Genomic DNA, 20,427 nt, shown 5'->3' on the forward strand with positions numbered 1-20,427 from the left:
ATTTCACTTAGCATAATGGGTTCATCCATGTTGCAGCATCTGTCAGAATTTCTCTCTTTCTTATGGTTACATAGCATTCCACACATAGAGTTATGTGGCTCTATTGTAATTTGTTTCAGCAGTCCCCCTGATGGACTCTTGGGCTGTTTCAAGTCTTTTATTATTCCTGTTGGTGCTGCAGCAAAGACCCTCTTCTGTGGTCATTTTATGTAAGAGCAGGTGCGCTCCGAGAATGCAAGCCCAGCACTGAGGTTGCTGAGGCAGAGGGCGGGAGCTCGGTGATTGCCACTTGCCCCCCGCTGCCGTTGTATCATTTTGCACCCTCACCAGCAATGTAATAAGAGAAAGCAACCCCTTTTAACTCTTTTCATGGTTTCTTCTGCTAGCTACCCCTGTGTCTCCAAATGTTATGATTATTCTATTTCTTTTTCTTTTTTTTTTTTTTTTTGAGACAGGGTCTTGCTCTGTCATCCAGGCTGGAGTGCAGTGGCGCAATCATGGCTTGCTGCAGCCTTGACCTCCCAGGCTCAAGCCATCCTCCCACCTCAGCCTCCTGAGCAGCTGGGATTACAGGTGTGCGTCACCACGCCTGGCTAATTTTTTAATTTTTTGTAGAGACGAGGTCTCACTGTGTTGCCCAGGCTCGTCTCAAATTCCCGGGCTCAAGCAATCCTCTTGCCTTGGTCTCCCAGAGTGTTAGGATTACAGGCATGAGCCACAGTGCCCGGCCACTACTGCTTGATTTACCAATTTTAGAGTATCTGTTGGTGCCCTTCTAAGATAGATGATAATTTAGCTTTCATGACCTGCTCTTCCATTGCCCCCCTCATCCTCCCAACAGCATCCTGTGGCCTGTAGATTCTCTAGGGTCACCTTTATAAACCTGAGAGTCTCAGTTACCCTTTTTTTTTCTTCCTCATTCTGTCAATTCCTCCAAGCACTCTGTCCATGTCTCCCTCCCACTACTGCCATGTGTATTTTTTTTCTTTTCTGAGACAGGGTCTGGAGTGCAGTGGCACAATCATGGCTCACTGCAGCCTGGACCTCCAGGGCTCAAGCAATCCTCCCGCCTCAAGCCTCCCAAGTAGCTGGATCACAGGTGCGTGTCAACAGACCCGGCTAGTTTTTAAAATTTTTTGTAGAAATTGGGGGTCTCACCAAGTTGCCCAGGCTGGTCTTGAACTCCTAGGCTCAGTGATCCTCTTGCCTTGGACTTCCAAAGTACTTGGATTACAGGTGTGAGCCACCACGCCCAGGCTGCCATGTGTATTTTTTTTTTTCCAAGACGGAGTCTCGCTCTGTCTTCCAGGCTGGAGTGCAGTGGCGCAATCTCGGCTCACTGCAACCTCTGCCTCCCAGGCAGGTTCAAGCAATTCTCTGCCTCAGCCTCCTGAGTAGCTGAGATTATAGGCTTGCGCCACCATGTCTGGCTAATTTTTTTGTATTTTCAGTAGAGACCGGGTTTCACCATCTTGGCCAGGCTGGTCTTGAACTCCTGACCCCGTGATCCACCTGCCTCAGCCTCCCAAAGTGCTGGGATTACAGGTGTGAGCCATTGCGCCTGGCCTATGCCACATGTATTTTTATTTTTATTTTGTTTTTGTTTTGAGATGGAGTTTCACTCTTGTTGCCCAGGCTAGAATGCAATGGTGCGATCTCGGCTCACTGCAACCTCTCCCTCCTGGGTTCAAGCGATTCTCCTGTCTCAGTCTCCCAAGTAGCTGGGCTTGCAGGTGCCTGCCACCACGGCCAACTAATTTTGTATTTTTGGTAGAGACTGAGTTTCTCCATGTTGGTCAGGCTAGTCTCAAACTCTTGACCTCAGGTGATCCGCCTGCCTTGGCCTCCCAAAGTGCTGGGATTATAGGCGTGAGCCACCGCGCCCAGCCTATTTTTATTTTTAAGTCATCAAGACTGAATGACCTTTCCATCCTCTTCTGTAACCACAATGACATCTTGGGTGTTTTGTTCTATAGGTTGAGTCTAAACATTGAAGATGATTGGAAGCAGATGCAGGCATTATTTCTTGCAGAGCTTTTACATTACTGCAACCGTATAACTTGCTTTGCTCTCTGTCCTTGACTTGGATCCTCTACTCTGGTGCTTGATTGAGCAGCAGAACCATGTGGGGTAGAAAGGGAGTGGGGGAGAGGTGCCTTTAAAAATGCATATTCCTAGACCTCACCCGAGACCTGCCAAGATCTGTGGAGGACCTGGGAGTTTGTGTATTTTAAAGCTATCCCCCTTGCCCTGGAATGATGGTATGCAGTGGCAGTGGGCATTTGGAGTGGTAGGCACCTTAGTCAGTATTGGATGAATGTTGACTGACCTTATTTAATAAATGAATAGCCTCTTGCCTGCAGCCTCACCAGCCCTGTGCCCCTTCATCCACAGGTACACACCCCGGGACACACAATCCTTACTTTAGGAAACCTCCCTGGACCCTCCACCTTTTCTCATGGTCTTTGATGCTGCAACTCCTGTGTGGGCCCAGTCTCCTGGCTACCCATCCACCCTCCTTCTCTCTGCCCTTCAGCCCTGTGGTTTAGTGACAGGGAAGGCTCAGGCCCCTTCTGGGGTTCTGACAGGGCTGCCTTTGGGCAAGGAGCACAGCGCAGTAGAAGCATGGGATGTGTATGGCGACGGGCCCCGAGTCTACCCACTTGTTTATTCATTCACTCAGCATCTTCTGGCATGTGTATGTGTGGGCAAGGCTCTGAGGGAGGATCTATGTGAGAGAAAAAGTTGAATCTTACAAGTTCCAGTTATTAAGTTTCCAAGAAAGATACGGAGGAGTCAGGAGGAGCAGGGAGGGCTCTTTTCTGACTTCACTGCTCTCCCGGGGATGCTTCAGGGCAGTGTGTCTCATGCAGGCACAGGCTCTGACCCGCTAGTGGGCTGTGAAGTCACTTGAATGGGCTCAGCCATCATCGACAGAAATGGATAGGGTAGAATTGGAATGCATCCACCCTATAAGGGCTGTTATGGTTTCATTAATTCTTTCTTCAGCTCTGGCTATTCTCTGGTTAAATATGTCCAGTGAGTTTTAAATTTTGGTTATTGAAGCTTTTTTTATTTCTAGAAGTTCTACTTGGTTCTTTTTTCAGTCTGCTATGTCATTTTTTTTTATCGTTTTCTGTTCTCTGCAGGGATCTTCAAGCTTTTTTTTTTTTTAATTGATTGAAGCAGAGAAGACATATCTGTTTTACAGGTGATGTCTGCGTCTGAAGTCTCTGCCTGTGTCTGTTTTTAGTGTCTATTTTGTGGGCTTGTTCTCCCTCGCGGTGTCTGGTTCCCAAGGATCCCTGCTTTTCTTTGAGCATATACTGGTTATTGCATTTGAAAAGTCTGGTTTGAGTTGCCGGGCGGGGTGGTTCACGCCTGTAATCCCAGCACTTTGGGAGGCCGAGACGGGTGGATCACGAGGTCAGGAGATCGAGACCATCCTGGCTAACATGGTGAAACCTCGTCTCTACTGAAAAATACAAAAAATTAGCCGGGCGTGGTGGCACGCGCCTGTAATCCCAGCTACTCAGGAGGCTGAGGCAGGAGAATGGTGTGAACCCGGGAGGCGGAGCTTGCAGTGAGCCGAGATCGCGCCACTGCACTCCAGCCTGGGCGACAGAGTGAGACTCCGTCTCAAAAAAAAAAAAAAAAAAAGAAAAGTCTGGTTTGAGTCTAGGATGAAGGTACCTTCCTCCAGGAAGGCCCTGGTGTTCCTTCTGCCAGACTCCTGAGGGTCTCGCCAGTTCAAGCCCACTTGAAGCCCAGGTCGTTTGGGGTTACTTGAACCATCTGGGGGATTCCAACTAGTATCTTTAGCTCCTGACATGAGCTGTTCTACTGTGGGCTCAGCCCTTGTCTGAGACTGTATCCCTATAGGGTCCCGGTCTTCTGTTGACCCCTCACCTTCTGTGGGCCTGGGCATGGACCTCTGATCCTTCCATCTGAAGAAGCTGTCAAAATAAAAGTCCATGCTTCCGGGAATCAGGAAGTCGCCTCAAGGCAAAAGTAGCTGAGTGTTTCTATGTCTGTTTTGTTTTCCTTTCTATCTTCTCTTTTTGGTGGGTAATTCTTCACCATCTTGTTGATTCTTTAAGTCTTAGCATAACACACATTTTAAAAATCCAGTTGTTTTAGTTGCTTTCTGTCACCATAGAAGGTCACCATGGTTCTCAGCCCTGTCGGACCTGGAGCCTGGTACCATGACCAGGGACAGGGAGTCCTCATGCCGTTTTAAGCAGTGGTGATCTAAGTTTTATTTCTTAGGTGAGTCAAGGTCGGAAAAGCTTGAGACCCCTGCTCTAGGGGCTGTACCTGTCCCTTTCTGCCTTTTCTCCTGTCTGGACTAGGGTTCGAAGGGGCTGGTGGGCCATGTGGAGACCAAGTAGCTGACAATCCCCAGGACCTGTGGGCTCAGACACAGGGCCCTGCACCTCTCAGCCCTTCCGGTCTCAGCTCAGCACCTCCCTTGCCTGGCCCCTCTTTCCTGCATGAGCTCCCTGCCCCTGCCAGGAGGAACCTCTGTCCTGTTTCTAGATGCGCCATATCCTCTCCCACCTCCTGCTCTTTCCTCCAGTTGTGTGCCTCGTAACCTCTTCCTCCCTCCAAGGCTAAATCAAACCCTACCTCCTTATACAGGAGGAAGTAATTTCTGGGTTGATGTATGCATCCGGCAGATTCATGCTGAGCCAACAGGTTAGGGGCTGGAGAAACAGTGATGAGCTTAACCAGGCCCTGCCAGCCTGCCCACCCCGAGTCTGGTGAGGGTAGCAAAAAACATAAAGTGGAATTGATAAATAATATAATCTATCCATATCCATATTTTTATTTTTTATTTTTTGGGACGAAGTCTTGCTCTGTCACCCAGGCTGGAGTGCAGTGGTGTGATCTCAGCTCACTGCAGCCTCTGCCCCCGACCCCCGGTTCAAGTGATTCTCCTGCCTCAGCCTCCTGAGTAGCTGGGATTACAGGTGCGTGCCACCATGCCCGACTAATTTTTGTATTTTTAGTAGAGATGGGGTTTCACCACGTTGGTCAGGCTGGTCTCGAACTCCTGACCTCGTGATCTGCCCGCCTTGGCCTCCCAAAGTGCTGGGATTACAGGCATGAGCCACCGTGCCTGGCCTATATATCCATATTTATATAATGCAAAATGGTGGCGGTCTAGAGCCAGGGTCTGAGTGAGCCTGGAGCCAGGGGGAGGGAATGAGGTAGTTTAATGTCCTCAGTGTGACAAAAAAGAGAAAAGAAAGGAAAGTAACTTTAAAAATATATATATTTTAGTTTTTAGACAGGGTCTTGCTCTGTCGCTCAGGCTGGAGTGCAGTGGCATGATCAGGGCTCACTGCAGCCTTGACTTCCTGGTTTCAAGGGATTCTTCTGCCTTAGTCCCCCAAGTAGCTGGGACTACAGGCATGTACCACCATGCCCAGCTAATTTTTTTGAATTTTAGTAGAGACAATGTCTCGCTATGTTGCCAAGGCTGGTCTTGAAATCTTGGCTCAAGCGAACCTCCTGCCTCAGCCTCTTGAGCAGCTGGGATTACAGATGCACACCACCATGCCTGGCTAATTTTTTATTTTTTTAAATTATTTTTATTTTTTCCCACCACTTGCTGCCTGTTGATAATTTTTTATTAACTTTTTTTTTTTTTTTTTGTAAAGACAGGATTTCGTCATGTTGCCCAGGCCAGTCTCGAACTCCTGGCCTCAAGTGATCCTCCTGCCTCGGCTTCCCATAGTGCTGGAATTACAGGCGTGAGCCACTGCGCCCAGCCCACTTACCTTTAAATCATGAATGTGGCAGCCACACATGCACCCATTTGGTGTGGCCATGAGTGATGTATTTTCTGAAATAGCAGAAAACTCCTGGGAAAATTTGAACAACACAAAGGACAGCTTTCCCTCAGTTTATATTGGAGTTGCATTCCTGGAAAATTCAGTGTTTGCTAAATCCATGCAAAAAAATTTGTGCCTCTGTGTATAGCTCTAGGCCCAGAACACTGCTCATAGATGTCCACCTATGCGTGTGGGCAGGACATTTGCCATCAGGCATCACCCAGGATAATCTCTGTGGTGCAGGCGTCCAGCAACCCTGTTCTGCTCACTAAGTGCCACTGTGACAATTGGTGGTACAACCCAAATCACTCCCTGCCCACTGAATTTCCGGAACATTCCCTGGTGTGTCCCATTCCCCACCACTCTGTTGGGAATTGCCTGCCTCTAACAAGGCACTGAGATCCACAAAATGATGTGGGGAAGCCCTGGGAGTGCCAACCCAGCCTGAAGAGGCAGGAGGACCCCAGCTGCCTCCTGAGGGCCGAGCCGAACCCATAAAGATGCACTCTCTGCCGGGCGTGGTGGCTCACGCCTGTAATCCCAGCACTTTTGTAGGCCGAAGTGGGTGGATCACTTGAGGTCAGGAGTTTGAGACCAGCTTGGGCAATATGGCGAAACCCCGTCTCTACTAAAAATACAAAAATTAGCCAGGCATGGTGGTGCATGCCTGTAATCCCAGCTACTTGGGAGGCTGAGACAGGAGAATTGCTTGAGCCTGGGAGGTGGAGGTTGCAGTGAGCCGAGATTGCATCACTGCACTCCAGCCTGAGCTACAGAGTGAGACCGTGTCTCAAAAAAAATAAGAAAAATAAAAAAAATAAAAAAGACACACTCTCTCCAACAAACTGAGTGCTCTTTCGGAAGTGATGTCCACTCATGCTGGCAATGCTGAGGGGCCTAGGTGGGGCAGCCCTTGGTGGCTCCATCTGCTTGTGGAATTGCCATTTTTCCCTTTTCTTTCTAGGAAGTTCTGTCTTCCTTGATCTTTGGTTCACTCTGTTTCTACTCCCGATGGTCCCATGGAGCTTTTGCCTCCTTATGAACTGGATGGAAAATCTAATTTTTCTTTGGTCCCTTGGGACTGGATGACCAGCTTTGACCAGAGAAAAGACACAGCTTTCTTAGAGGGAACAGGAAAGGACCTGAAGAAGGGGTTTTGTTTCTGGGACCCTCGAGTGGCTCTCTCCTCTCCAGTCTCCCCACACAGCCATCTCCTTTCTGTTCCACACTGCCAGAGCATTGTACAATCAGGGACTCACACAGCTGCAGCATGAGAGGGATCTCAGGGCCACTGAGTCCTGCTCCGTGCCCAGGCTGTGGATCCCTCCTGTGATGGGGAGCTCACTGCTTCCCAGCCCAGCCCAGGCTATTGTCACACAGGCCCAGTCACCCACACCAGCCCCTCACCAGCACCCAGAATCCTCCCTCCCCTCCTACCAAGCTTTCGAACAGGCTTTTCCAACTCCTGCCTCCTTTGGATAAGCAGAAAAATTGGACACCCTTCCTGCAGCTTAGGCTTATGGGAATGACACTTGTTTTATCTACTTGCCAAAATAAAAATTGTACTAGAGAACATGTTTCTGGAATTTGGATTTGCCTTGTCTTAGGTCAGATTCCTAGAAGCAGAGCCTAAGATGGGTGAATTCTTGAGGAAGTTCTCAGGAGAACACAGTGAGGGAGCCTCTTCCTCTTTGTATAGGGCAGGAGAAGAAGCTGAGCAAGGGTGTGGTTTCAGTGGAAGATGCGCCTCAGCCTGACCCCTCGGGGAGCTCAGGATTGTGAGCTGTTCCTCGGACTGTCCCCTCCAGAGGCTGGGCTGTTCTATGCCTGTGTCAGTCACTGGATAGGGGCTGCCCCTGGGAAGAGGGGTATGTCATTTCCCAGGCATCTGTGTGCAAGATGGTTTCCATCAGCCAAGGCAATTAGCTAAAGAGGATGCAGATGTGAGCTGTTAGCTGCCAATACTCACAAAAGCTGGGCACAGACATGGCATAAGGGTGAGGCCCCAGCAGCCTCTGGTAAATCTCCTAGGGGAAGAGGGCACGTGTCCACCCCACCAAGTGAGATGCACTGCTCTCAAACCTGCCTCTGAGCCTCCCCATTCTACTCAGCATATTCCAGGATGCTCCAAATTCTGTGAGGTTCTTCCAACCGCTTCCTCTCTACCTGCAGCGGGGAACGGGGGTGGGGAAGGGTTGGGAGAGAAGAGCTGCAGGCTGGGGTTTTCTCCAGGGAGGGCCCTGAGCCCCAGATGAATCATTCCCCTCACCCCCAACCTGCCCCACCACAGACTGCCTCTTCAAGGTGTGCCCCATGAACCGCTACTCGGCCCAGAAGCAGTACTGGAAGGCCAAGCAGACTAAGCAGGACAAGGAGAAGATCGCTGATGTGGTGTTGCTGCAGAAGCTGCAGGTATGTGTGTGTGTGCAGGCGTGCATCTGTGCACATGTACCAGGAACCTGGGTACACAAGCAGCGGTGCTGCTTGTCGGAGCCAGTAGGGGCTCTGTGGCTGAGCTGAGTGGTTTCTAAAACTCGTATGGGCGTGACAGTTCACACCTGTAATTCCAGCACTTTGGGAGGCCAAGGCAGGAGGATTGCTTGAGGCCAGGAGTTTGAGAGCAGCTTGGGCAACATAGCAAGACCCTATCTCTACAAAAAATTAATAAAAAATAAAAATAAAAAAATAAATTCCAATACGCAAGAGATTGGTGTGAATTGCTGTGAAGGAGGGGATGTGGGGGGAGTAGGATCCCTTCCCAGTGACCCACCAGTCTGTGTAACTCTGTTGTGTCAATGAGAAGAAAGTGCCCCTTCCTCCAGGCTGGCACAGCCCTGTGCCAGGGTGCATGGCTCAGAGAGTGGAATGTCGACACCATAGAGCAGTGAACAACCTGTACAGCTGTCCATGGAGTTCCCAGTGGCTCCTGGAGACAGTGGCTCTGGGGAACCCAATTTGGGAGCCCTGGATCTAGTCTTAACCTCTCCCCTTGTTTTATAGAGTTGGAGCCTGGGGCCCTTAGATGGGACTGGTCTGTCCATGGTCTGACCATCCTGTAAGTCTGCAGTAGAGCCTAGATGGCCCCCAGGTCTCTGACTCACCCTGGCTTCCTCAGACATGTGGATCGTGCCATGATGCTGGAATGTGGTGGTCGCTCATGAGCCCCTTGTGGGCAGTGGCTCAGTTCACATCCTGGGCAGATCTCGGGGTCCCAACCCCGTTCCCCAAACCACAAAGAGAGTGGGAGGCTTTGGCTGTGGTCAAGAACTTTGTAGCCTGGGCCCTGGGCCCTGTTGCCCCACCCCTTGTCATACAAACCTTGCTTCTCTCTGTCCCCTTCCTCTAAGCCCCACGCCTAGAGGAGGTGGGTCTAGAATGGGGACATTGGGCTGCGCCTTATAGCTGTGGACTGGGCTGGAGAGAGGGAGCTGCAGGTGGGCTGCCTGAGCTCTAGTATTAATACCTCAGCTCTCTTCCTGGAATGGGGGCTGCAACAGGCTTCCTTCCTGCTGCCAGCAGGTAGAGGCTGAGCTGGGGATCTGGCCTGGGGGGAGGGCATTCACCTATGCAGAGCCACATAATCAGAACCGCAAGCGGTCACACAGCCACATGCTGTTGCTTTGTGGAAAGTCACATGGTCCATGGCAAGGCTCTCCTGCTGCCACCTTCGCCTCGGTCTCAGTAAAGGACTGAGGAGGAGGAAAGGACAGAGACCACTGCTCTCAGAGAGTGCCAGTCTGATGGAGGGGACAGGGCTCCTGCCCTCCAGGAACCCCTAATCTGGTAAGGAGGCAGGGCACCTATCCTTAGGCAGCTTCCAGTCTAACAGAGGACAGAAGAGCCTAAAAAGCTGTCTCTAATGGGATGCAAACCAAATCCTCAAGGCCACCAGCAGTGGATCCATCAGACTGGGATGTGACCACTCAGGGAGGGCTGCCTGGAGGCAGTGGGCTGAATGCACACAGTTTTGGGAGGGAAGGTTGCAGAGGAGTGGGGGTGGTGGTGGGAGCCAGGAAATGGCACCAAGCAGCCCCTGCCAGCGTTTGGACTGGGACAAGGGTCCCGTGTCTGGGGCATTGGGAGTCTGGTGAGGTGGGGGTGGGTGGTGAGACACACACAGCTTTAGGTTCCTGGGGGGGTAAGGGGATTGCGGGGGATGCTCAAGGTCCTGCTGGCATGCCCTCTCCAGGGGAGGTGGCTGGGGAGGGTTAGGGATTTGGCTCCCTGGGCTGTGTGTGCTGTGAGACCTCAGGCTGCCTTCTGCACTCAGAGTGCAGCACTCTGGGTGCAGCACCAAGAGCTGGGGCAGGGGTCCAAGGGGTCCTGGAGTCCAGGGTGACTGTGTGTGTGTGTGTGTGTTTGTGTGCATGTGTGCGTGCATGTGTGGGGCTGGGGTATGTCTTCCTCTAGGAGCAGCTTCTGAGCCCACCCTTCACTTCTGTGTGTGTCTGTGCAGCATGCGGCGCAGATGGAGCAGAAGCAAAATGACACGGAGAACAAGAAGGTGCATGGGGATGTCGTGAAGTATGGCAGTGTGATCCAGGTGAGGCTGGCCTGCCTCTCTCCCGCCTGCCCCTCTCCCTGCCTAAGAGGCTGGGCTGGTGCTGGGTGAGGGCTGCCAGCAGGCATTGCCCTCTGTGCATGTGTGTCCCCGGGTGAATGAGTGGCCCTGGGGCCACCTGTGTGGCTGTGCGTCTGACTGTGTGTGTGTCTGTTGCTGTGTGGCCTGAGTAGCTGTGCCATGGGTGTGTTTACAGCATGGTGGCCATCAGCATGGAGTCTGGAGCCACGTTGTCTGGATTCAAATCTTGGCTCTGCCACTCCTAATGGTGTAACTTGGGCAAGTTACCTAACGTCCCCTGGCGCCTTGGTTTCCCCATCTGTGAAATCAGGCAGTAATAGTACTTCCCTCTTGGATCGTTGTAGGTTACTTGAGCTAATCTATGTAAAGTATTTAGAACAGCCTCTTTCTTGTGATCACCAGGGTGTCCATGGGGGTGTGCCTGTTGTGTGCACGTTTGTGTGTGATTGTGGTTGTGAATGTGGGTGTCAGCCTGTATGTTTGTGACAGGTGTCTGACACTATGTGTGCAGCCAGAATGTGACCAAGGGTCTAGGGGATCCCCCCATATCCCCTCCCTAATGGGCCGACTCCTGTGGCGCGGTGACCTTCCCGCACCCCACCTGACCCCCAGCTCCTGCACATGAAGAGCAACAAGTACCTGACAGTGAACAAGCGGCTTCCGGCCTTGCTGGAGAAGAACGCCATGCGGGTGACTCTGGATGCCACAGGCAACGAGGGTTCCTGGCTCTTCATCCAGCCCTTCTGGAAGCTGCGGAGCAACGGGGACAACGTGAGGGCAGGGCCAGGGTTGGAGGGGCCTGGTGGAACTCCCGAGGGGCTTCTGTAGGGTCTTCGGTGTGGGGACTGGATAAGGGCATGCCCATTTCTTAGAAGGGCAGACTGAGACCAAAGGGAGGCCTGGAGGCGTGGTGACAAGAGGGCCCTGCCCTTCCCACCTAACCTGTCCCACCTGTCTGCTCAGGTGGTCGTGGGGGACAAGGTGATCCTGAATCCTGTCAATGCCGGGCAGCCTCTGCATGCCAGCAATTACGAGCTCAGCGACAACGCCGGCTGCAAGGAGGTGAGGGGGTGGGGGGTCAGCCATGCAGTGCAGGGACGTCCACACACCCCTGGTGGTGTAGACACCCCGCTCCCTGCCATGGTCTCTGCCTCCAGCCCCATCTGACCTGCCGGACAAGCTGGGCCTCACGGCTTCTGCATCCATTTCCCAACACTGCCCTCATTCTCCACCCCACAGGCTGGTGGCCCCAAGGTAGCCGGGCTGGGGTCTGGGGACCCTGGCTAGGAGAAGACACCCTGTCCTTGTGCTGTAATGGTGGCTGGGCTGCTTCTTCCCTTCAGCCCTGCTCTGGGCCCTCAGTGGCTGGGGTCCACCTGGCGTCACGGGTCTTGTCACCCTTCCGCAGGTCAATTCTGTGAACTGCAACACCAGCTGGAAGATCAACCTGTTTATGCAGTTTCGGGACCACCTGGAGGAGGTGTTGAAAGGGGTAAGGACTGGGAACCCCTGCCCTGCCCAGCTGGCCACCTAGCCCTCCCCACCAGGGCCCTCTTCCTGCCTTCTCCACCCGCCAGGCCTCAGGCCCTTACCCTCTCCCCAGCTTTGCACCCCCCAGCCTCCCTCCACCTCCACAGGGCCCCACCCACATGGCCCTACCAGGGCTGCCGCTTCTCTCGTCTCTGGCCACAGCTCCCTTCTCCATTCTCCCTGGGTCCTGCCTGGTCTTTGTTTTCTCCCTTGTTTAAGGGGGTGTCAGTGGACTGGGGGTCTCCATCCCCCCACCACCCAGAGCCTTTGAGCACCTTCCTCTCCCCAACTCCTGCTGCCTGGATCCACACCAGGCCCCCGCCCCTTGCCCTGTGCCCTCATTGGCAAGCGAGTGAGGCTGCCCTGTCTGCTGAGTTAGGGGTCACCGCCTGTCTCCTTCCTGGTCCCAGACATGCTGGTGTGGGCTCTGGGAGAGAAGGGAGGCCTGGGAAATACTGCAGTGAAGACTTCGGGAGGATCCAGGACTGAGGGCAGAGGGAGCTGTCTGGGGCCACCAGAGAGACCATTCAAGAAACCCTGAACAGCAGATGTGGGCGAGAGAGGAGAGTTCAGATGTCTCTTGGGTGGGGCTGCAAGGGATGGAACCAGCAGACGGGGTGTAGACGGTCTTGAGGGAGGGCAGATCTGTAGAGTGTGAGGCTGTCCAGCTAGGGGAGCAGGCAGGAACATCAGCTGTGAAACCTGTTAGAGGGACAGGTGACAGGCCCGAGAGCAGCCACCTAAGGAGTCTTAGGTGCTCCTCCCTGCTCGGAAGCTGCAATGGCTCCCTTTGCCCTCCTCCCCACGCTGAGCTGCTCTGTTAGACTCTCCTGCCCTGCTCAGGCTGCCTCAGTCCCCCACCCTCCTCATCCTTCTTACCTCCTGGGCTGCTTCCCGTCTACCCATGCCCTGCCCCAATGCCTTCTCCCTCCCTCCCTCCCTTAAATCTGCACATCATCCACACATTAATCAAGGTGCAGCCATGCACTACCCCTCCTGGAAGCCTTCCCTAATGTTCCAGCCCCGAATCTGTGCAGCACTTAGGAAATGAAGCATCTTGGCCGGGCGGGGTGGCTCATGCCTGTAATCCCAGCACTTTGGGAGGCCGAAGCGGGTGGATCACTTGAGGTCAGGAGCTCAAGACCAGCCTGGCCAACGTGGAGAAAGCCCTTCTCTACTAAAAATACAAAAATTAGCCAGGCGTGGCAGTGGGCACCTGTAGTCCCAGCTACTCAGGAGGCTGAGGCAGGAGAATCGCTTGAGCCTGGGAGGTGGAGGTTGCAGTAAGCCAAGATTGCACCACACTGCACTCCAGCCTGGGTGACAGAGCGAGACTCCTTCTCAAAAAAAACAAACAAGCAAACAAACAAACAAATAAATAAAATGAAGCATCACTTGGGCCTCACTCTGTGGTCTACATAGAATTATTTCTGGGGAATCCGTCATGGCTCCGTGGTTCCAAGGCAGCTCAGAAGCAAGGCTTTCTGGTGCTAAGTCCACTGCTTTTTTGCCCCTGCCCTGCGCTACTGGGGCACAGAAGTCACTAGGTTCTGCCATAGTAACTGACCCAATCTTTATATCGTCATTCATTCATGCATTCTTGCATTCACTGCTGCATTCACTCTGCAGGTGTTCACTGAATGCTTTGTGTCTAGTGTGTGTTCAGTGGAGGGAAGACAGAAAGTGCCATTAGTGATGATAGCAAGAGTGGCAGCCATGCATTGTGTGCCTGCTGGGCGGCAGGCTCAGCGGGAGGAAGGTGATGGAATGATTAAGGTGCAGGCCCTGGAACTGGGCCAAAGATTCATGTCCCATTTGCCATTAGTTGCATGACCCTCGGCAGGATACTTACCTTCTCTATGCCTGAGTTTCTCCACCCATAAAATGGGGCTAATGATGTATTTACCCAGAGGGTTGATGTGAGGATCAGGTGAGAAAGCTTTCAAGTGCTTGCACAGTGGCTGGCACGCGGTAAGTGTGCAGTGTGACTTCATCACGCATATTATAATCCTCACAATTTCTGCAAGGAGGTCATTGTATTCCCATTTTACAGAAGAGGCAACTGAGGCTCAGACATGTTAAGGAACTTATCTGAGGTCACACAGCTTTTAAGAGCAGAGACAGAGGCCGGGCACAGTGGCTTATGCCTGTAATCCTAGCACTTTGGGAAGCTGAGGTGGGTGAATTGCCTGAGCTTAGGAGTTTGAGGCCAGTCTGGGCAACATGGTGAAACCCCGTCTCTACTAAAAATAAAATAAATTAGCCGGGCGTGGTGGCAGGCACCTGTGGTCCCAGCTACACAGGAGGCAGAGGCATGAGAATCACTTGAACCCAGGAGGCGAAGGTTGCAGTGAGCCAAGATCGTGCCATGCACTCCATCCTGGGCAACAGAGTGACTGTCTCTGAAAAAAAAAAAAAAAAAAAAAAAAAGACAGGATCCAAACGTGGTATCTCTGTCCAAAGCTATGGAGATGCCCTCCATGCTGCCCCCATCCAACAGGGGAGCAAAAGAAGTGGGCATGAGCTACCAATATTTAGGCAGAAAGGACCCTGAGAGAGGGGCAGCCATGGCCCCGGGGACACTGAGGGGGTAAGGTCCCCCTCCTTCATGGAGGGGGTGACTGGAGATGGGCCGTTAGAGGTTAGGCAGGGTGTCTAGAGGTACACATAGGGAGAGAGGTGGTCCAGGGTGGGTTTGAACATGGGAAGGCCTGGGAGAGCTCTGGATTTGGGGTCTGGGATGCGGGCTGAGGGCAGAGTGCCTGGGCTTTGGCTGTTCTCTAGGGGGCTCAGCTTGCATCCCCCTCTCTGTGTGCTGGCTCTGGAAGAGGGGCCCTGCCAGCAGCCAACCCTGTCTGAGGCAGGTGGGGCTGGGCCCTGGGTGGGTCCTTGAGCCTGGAGGGGCCGCAGCCATCCTGAGCCACACCCTGCTGCCTGCAGGGAGACGTGGTGCGGCTGTTCCATGCGGAGCAGGAGAAGTTCCTGACGTGTGACGAGTACAAGGGCAAGCTGCAGGTGTTCCTGCGAACTACACTGCGCCAGTCTGCCACCTCGGCCACCAGCTCCAATGCTCTCTGGGAGGTGGAGGTCAGAAAAGCCCTGCTTCTGGCACCCCGGACTCAGCCTTGGATGCCACCCCTCCCTCTTCCCCACCATCCTGGAGGGTGGGATATTGACCCCTACCTCCCTCTGAGTCCCTCCAGAGTCAAAAGGCCAGAGAGGGTCCAGAACCCACCCACCCAGAGATCTCCAGGCCTCCCTGGGGTCTGACTCCCCATGCCTGTCCAGTCTCTCCTTCCTGCCTCACACCTGTGTGCCCCTAGGTGGTCCACCACGACCCCTGCCGTGGAGGAGCTGGGCACTGGAATGGCTTGTACCGCTTCAAGCACCTGGCTACAGGCAACTACCTGGCTGCTGAGGTGAGCGGGAGGTAGAGGGCATGCTGGGGCTCGTGTGTGCATGTACACGTGGGTGTGCGGGAACATGTGTGCACATACTTGCATATGTGGCACATGTGCCTATGGACCCTGACTTCTCTGCACTCATGCATTTATCCAATATTATCAAATAAAGGCATGACTGTAAATAAGCCTAATAAATATCACTGTGCTCCTACTATGTGCCAGGCACTATTCTAGGCACAGGGGATACAAAGTGAGCAAAATTTCCCGTCTGTCTGTAATGCGCACACTTGTGTGTGTTGGAGCATTGGTGTGTATGTGTGTATGTTCATTTGTGGTTCTATGGAGAGGGGCCATGAAGGGCTCCCCTGGAATGATATGGGCACCCCTGGGAGGGTGCAGCCTGCCTGCCCAAACCCAGGGCCCTATGTAGGTGACCATGTTTTGCAGTGGGTCGTGTGGGTATAGTTTGGTGTCCAGTAGCTCCCCCACATCTTGTATCTCTGTCCAGGAGAACCCCAGTTACAAAGGTGATGCCTCAGATCCCAAGGCAGCAGGAATGGTGAGGAGCAAAGCAGGTCTCCAGTGAGACCATGGGCCTGCCCTGGGGGTAGGCGGGGGCAGGGGAGGCCGTGAAAACCTGGGAGGTGGGCTGGAGGGAGACAGATGGGATCTCAGGTGGGATCCCAGGTGCTTCATGGGCTTGAGAAGAGGGAGGGCCTTCTACCTGATTTGGGGTCCTCATCCAGGGGGCACAGGGCCGCACAGGCCGCAGGAATGCTGGGGAGAAGATCAAGTACTGCCTGGTGGCTGTGCCTCATGGCAATGACATCGCCTCTCTCTTTGAGCTGGACCCCACCACCTTGCAGAAAACCGACTCTTTCGTGCCCCGGTGGGTATGCGCCATGTGCCTGGGAGTTGACTGGTGGTGCTCAGGGTGGGCCCTCCTGTCTCTGGGACTCTCTGGATCCCCCACTCCTCCGCCCTCCTGCGGTCCTTTAGCCTCTGGGGTCTCTGTAGGTCCCATCCCTCTGGGGATCTAGCTCTGAGTCTGTCGGCGGCTGACCACCATTGCATGCCTGCCTGGTGCCTGGCGCCTGCCCCAGTTGGTCTGGGTGCTCAAGCACAGGCTGCATGGCAGTTTGTCTAGGACACCAGCAGCACAGGGAACCCAAACACTGGATGGGAAGGCCAGACTCTCTGGCCTTTGAGGTCCCGCCAACCCCGAGATTCTAGGACGGAACATCAAGAAACTTCTCAAGTGTCAGTACAGGCTTTGGCGTGTCCTTAGCTGTATGACCTCAGGCTGCTACTCACTCTGCCTCCATCATTTTAGTGGGAACATCAAGTTTCCCTGTCAACAGGGCTAATGGGAGAGTTAATTGAGTCACTACATAGGCCCACAGTCCCTTCCCTGAAACTCTTGGGGGTAGATGGATTTGGTATTCAGATTGTTTTTCATTTTAGAAAGGTAAACTTGCATTTTGTAATCATAGACATTGAGTATTTTTGTGTAATGCATGTGTTTCTATGAAATGTGTGCATCTTGACATTCAATGGGATAAATAGTTAAATAGCCTCATTTGTCCAAATGAATTTTGGTCCCAAGTGTACAAACAAGCTTTGGTTTTGGAAGCGTGGACAAGGCTGCCCGTGTCAGTGCAGTGGTCAGGACGGGGCCTGGGCGCAGGGCTAGCTCTGGCTGTTCTTATCTGGCTTCAGCCTCCTCATCTGGAGGGGCACCAGTGGCTCCTGTCCCACAGCTGTTGAGGGTGTGGAGTAGGGTGGCAGCTGTGGCAGTGTTGGGGAGGTAGGCCGGCAGGCAGCATGACGTGCTCTGTGGTGCACTCCCCGAGTCCTTTCCCTCCCACCCACCTGCAGGAACTCGTACGTCCGGCTGCGGCACCTCTGCACCAACACGTGGATTCAGAGCACCAATGTGCCCATTGACATCGAGGAGGAGCGGCCCATCCGGCTCATGGTGCGTGTCCCTGGGGTGGGGGTGGGGCTGGGGCCAGGGCCGGAGCTTGTTCCCAGGTGCCCTGCTGACCCCTGTCTCTGCAGCTGGGCACCTGCCCCACCAAGGAGGACAAGGAGGCCTTTGCCATCGTGTCAGTGCCCGTGTCTGAGATCCGAGACCTGGACTTTGCCAATGACGCCAGCTCCATGCTGGCCAGTGCCGTGGAGAAACTCAACGAGGGCTTCATCAGCCAGAATGACCGCAGGTGGGCTGCAGTGGCACAGGGGTTTTCTGAGTGATCTTGCCCTCCCAGGGCCTGCATTTCATGAAGAAAGGAGTCATGAAGCAGAAGCTGGGCAAACTGGGGAGAGAGTAGGGGACTGGCCCCTGTGGGGCCCTGGCTGAGCCTGGGACCCTGGAGTTGGGTGCCTCACGGCTTAGGTACTCCCAGAACTAACCCTATGATGGAGCTGGTTACTGTGTTGAGCCTGGTCTCAAGGCCAGTTATGATGGGTCTGAGGCTCAGAGAGGTTACGAGACTTGCTCGGGGTCACAGTTAGTAAGTGGCAGAGTCAGGATGCAAATGCAGCCCCCTTCACACCAGACTCCCCGCCTTGTGCCCTGTACTTCCTTTCCAGGTTGGGATATTCTGAGATTCTGTGTCTTGGGGCCACTTTGGAATCCAGGGTGGGTGGGGCTGGGCGTGTTTGGAGAGCATTTCAGGGGAAAGCCGGGAAGAGGAATTGTAGGCTGAGGATGGGTTTTGTGCTTTGGGGGCCGCTGAGTGAACTCATGAAAGCCATGTTTTGGGAGGGACTGGCTCCCCAAGAGGGACACCTGCTGGGTGGGTATCTCACACTCGTCATCCCCGGGTCCCCTCACCCAGGTTTGTCATCCAGCTGCTGGAAGACCTGGTGTTCTTTGTCAGCGATGTCCCCAACAATGGGCAGAATGTCCTGGACATCATGGTCACTAAGCCCAACCGGGAACGGCAGAAGCTGATGAGGGAGCAGAACATCCTCAAACAGGTGCGTGTGCACCCATGAGGGGACGCAGAGGGGCCGGGTGCCCGGGAGAGGGATGCCTTCAACTGCAGGCTCATCCCCCGCTTTAACAAAAATCAGTATATATGGGGCACGACCACGTGCCAGGGACTTCCCTAAGTACCCCACATGTGTTGACGAATTTGATCCTCACTGCCTGGAGGAGGCGCCGTGATTCTTACCCCGTTTTACTGGTGAGGAAGCTGAAACACAGGCCAGAGTCGCTGTCCCAGGGCTCACAGCTAGGAAGCGGCAGCCAGGATTTGAGCTTGTGATGTTGGGTCCAGAGCTGTGCTTCAAAAAATTTTTTTAAAAATTTTTTTATTATGAGAATCATCAAATATTGAGAAAGTATTGGAAGAATAGTACAGGGAACAAGGTGCCTCACTGTTTTGCTGCCTTGGCTTTATGTAGCTCGGTTCACACATCCGTCTTTCCATCCACACATTGCAAAATAGGCAGCATTTTACACCCAAAAGTTTCAGCAGGCATCCCTAACAATAGGGACATTGCCTTACATAACCATAGTACATGATCACACCTAAGAAAATTACAACAATACCAAGTCCATATCACATTTCTCTAATGTTCCCAGAATGTCTTTGTAAAGTTTGTTTTTTTTTTTTTAGAAACGAGGATCCAATTAAGGTTTTTTCATTCCATTCTGTTGCTCTGTCACTTTGGTCTCTGTTTCAGAACAATTTTTCACCTCTCCACCCAGCCCCAGCCTTTAAAACATTTTTGTAATTATGTAACATTTTACTTTGACAAGGCAGGCCTGTGTCTCATCTCTTAAGCTCTGGCCACAGCGGTCCGGCCTGCCTTTTCTCTTAGCCTTAGACCCTGAGCTGCCGAGACCCTCTGCTCCTCCCCCAGGCCCCAGATCTGAGCTGGGATTAGAATCCGCATCAGGGAGGGATAGGCTGGGGTCAGCTTCGGGATTCCAACAAGGAGTAGGGAGAGCTGGGGCTGAGGATGGCTGGGCTGGGGTTGTGGTCCAGCTTAGAATCAGCTCGAAGCTGATGTCCGGGCTGGCTTTAGGGCAGAGTCAGTTGGGACTCAGGGATGACTCCTGGGATGACTTAGGGGTACAGACAGGTGTTGGGGAATCAGTCCTCACCCTCTGTATTCCCCCAGGTCTTTGGCATTCTGAAGGCCCCGTTCCGTGAGAAGGGGGGTGAAGGTCCCCTGGTGCGGCTGGAGGAGCTGTCAGACCAGAAGAACGCCCCCTACCAGCACATGTTCCGCCTGTGCTACCGCGTGTTGCGGCATTCCCAGGAGGACTACCGCAAGAACCAGGTGCGCCGCTGCCCTGCTGGCCCACTCGCTGGCTGCACGTTCCTTCCTCAGCAAGCGATTTCCTCAGGCACATGTGCTGTGCCAGGCACTGTTTTGGGGCCTAGGGTCCAGTAGGGCACCAGACAGCAGGGCCGGGTTCATGGGAATGGGACCTGGCCCGGTGCTCACAAGGGCCTTGCACTGGGTTAGATGCTCTGCTGCTGAGCAAGGGTCCTGCTCTTTCATTCTGCACTGGGCCCTACAAGTTATGTAGCCAATCCTTCCACACAAACAAGGTCCCTGCCCTCGTGGAGGTTTCGCTCTGGTGGGAAACAGCCCACAAGCTAAATAACTATGTAATGTAAGCCACTCTTCTGCCCAGCGATGCTTCCTTTCCTGGACCTCTGCCTTTCTAGGGTATTGGGTCCTTACCTCGGGGTTTGGGGGCAGCGTTCCAGAGCAGAGCTGGGCCCTTGGCCCACCTGTGACTCTCTGTGACCCCCAGCCTGTCTGCCCCCCCAGGAGCACATTGCCAAGCAGTTTGGGATGATGCAGTCCCAGATTGGCTACGACATCCTGGCCGAGGACACCATCACTGCCCTGCTGCACAACAACCGCAAGCTCCTGGAAAAGCACATCACCAAGACCGAGGTGGAGACCTTCGTCAGCCTTGTGCGCAAGAACCGGGAGCCCAGGTGGGCCCGAACCCCCTCCCCGGCCGGCGCCTGCTCCTCCCTCCTCCCTTGCCTGGGTAGAAACTCTGCTGGTTGTGTGAACTATTCCTGCACCTGTT

The 20,427-nt window shown here is 53.5% G+C and overlaps 1 protein-coding gene across 7 annotated transcripts in view, besides 5 other annotated features; it reads left to right on the forward strand.

Annotated features, from left to right (window-relative positions):
- ITPR3 (inositol 1,4,5-trisphosphate receptor type 3) overlaps window positions 1-20,427 on the forward strand; it is a 75,241-nt gene that overhangs the window by 26,314 nt on the left and 28,500 nt on the right. For 6 of the 7 annotated variants that reach the window (NM_002224.4, XM_047418731.1, XM_017010832.2 and 3 more), the window contains 14 exons: window positions 8,131-8,252; window positions 10,297-10,383; window positions 11,035-11,193; window positions 11,386-11,484; window positions 11,831-11,914; window positions 14,893-15,039; window positions 15,276-15,371; window positions 15,865-15,915; window positions 16,103-16,245; window positions 17,235-17,334; window positions 17,418-17,578; window positions 18,200-18,341; window positions 19,494-19,655; window positions 20,157-20,329. In NM_002224.4, the coding sequence (NP_002215.2) occupies window positions 8,131-8,252; window positions 10,297-10,383; window positions 11,035-11,193; window positions 11,386-11,484; window positions 11,831-11,914; window positions 14,893-15,039; window positions 15,276-15,371; window positions 15,865-15,915; window positions 16,103-16,245; window positions 17,235-17,334; window positions 17,418-17,578; window positions 18,200-18,341; window positions 19,494-19,655; window positions 20,157-20,329 (1,726 nt within the window). Of the gene's footprint in view, window positions 1-4,948; window positions 4,974-8,130; window positions 8,253-10,296; window positions 10,384-11,034; window positions 11,194-11,385; window positions 11,485-11,830; window positions 11,915-14,892; window positions 15,040-15,275; window positions 15,372-15,864; window positions 15,916-16,102; window positions 16,246-17,234; window positions 17,335-17,417; window positions 17,579-18,199; window positions 18,342-19,493; window positions 19,656-20,156; window positions 20,330-20,427 lie in introns of those variants that run through there. The other variant, XM_011514577.4, reaches the window with a different exon arrangement.
- Window positions 3,006-3,506: an enhancer, noted in NCBI's record as "H3K4me1 hESC enhancer chr6:33618418-33618918 (GRCh37/hg19 assembly coordinates)". NCBI's record gives its function as "activates a minimal SCP1, AML or CMV promoter by ChIP-STARR-seq in primed H9 embryonic stem cells {active_cell/tissue: H9 hESC(primed)}" and the evidence as "EXISTENCE:reporter gene assay evidence [ECO:0000049][PMID:30033119]".
- Window positions 3,507-4,007: an enhancer, noted in NCBI's record as "H3K4me1 hESC enhancer chr6:33618919-33619419 (GRCh37/hg19 assembly coordinates)". NCBI's record gives its function as "activates a minimal SCP1, AML or CMV promoter by ChIP-STARR-seq in primed H9 embryonic stem cells {active_cell/tissue: H9 hESC(primed)}" and the evidence as "EXISTENCE:reporter gene assay evidence [ECO:0000049][PMID:30033119]".
- Window positions 8,710-9,246: an enhancer, noted in NCBI's record as "H3K27ac-H3K4me1 hESC enhancer chr6:33624122-33624658 (GRCh37/hg19 assembly coordinates)". NCBI's record gives its function as "activates a minimal SCP1, AML or CMV promoter by ChIP-STARR-seq in primed H9 embryonic stem cells {active_cell/tissue: H9 hESC(primed)}" and the evidence as "EXISTENCE:reporter gene assay evidence [ECO:0000049][PMID:30033119]".
- Window positions 10,319-10,853: an enhancer, noted in NCBI's record as "H3K27ac-H3K4me1 hESC enhancer chr6:33625731-33626265 (GRCh37/hg19 assembly coordinates)". NCBI's record gives its function as "activates a minimal SCP1, AML or CMV promoter by ChIP-STARR-seq in primed H9 embryonic stem cells {active_cell/tissue: H9 hESC(primed)}" and the evidence as "EXISTENCE:reporter gene assay evidence [ECO:0000049][PMID:30033119]".
- Window positions 11,494-12,004: an enhancer, noted in NCBI's record as "H3K4me1 hESC enhancer chr6:33626906-33627416 (GRCh37/hg19 assembly coordinates)". NCBI's record gives its function as "activates a minimal SCP1, AML or CMV promoter by ChIP-STARR-seq in primed H9 embryonic stem cells {active_cell/tissue: H9 hESC(primed)}" and the evidence as "EXISTENCE:reporter gene assay evidence [ECO:0000049][PMID:30033119]".

The sequence above is a fragment of the Homo sapiens genome, chromosome 6, assembly GCF_000001405.40.
Source record: "Homo sapiens chromosome 6, GRCh38.p14 Primary Assembly".
NCBI classification, from domain to species: Eukaryota; Metazoa; Chordata; class Mammalia; order Primates; family Hominidae; genus Homo; species Homo sapiens.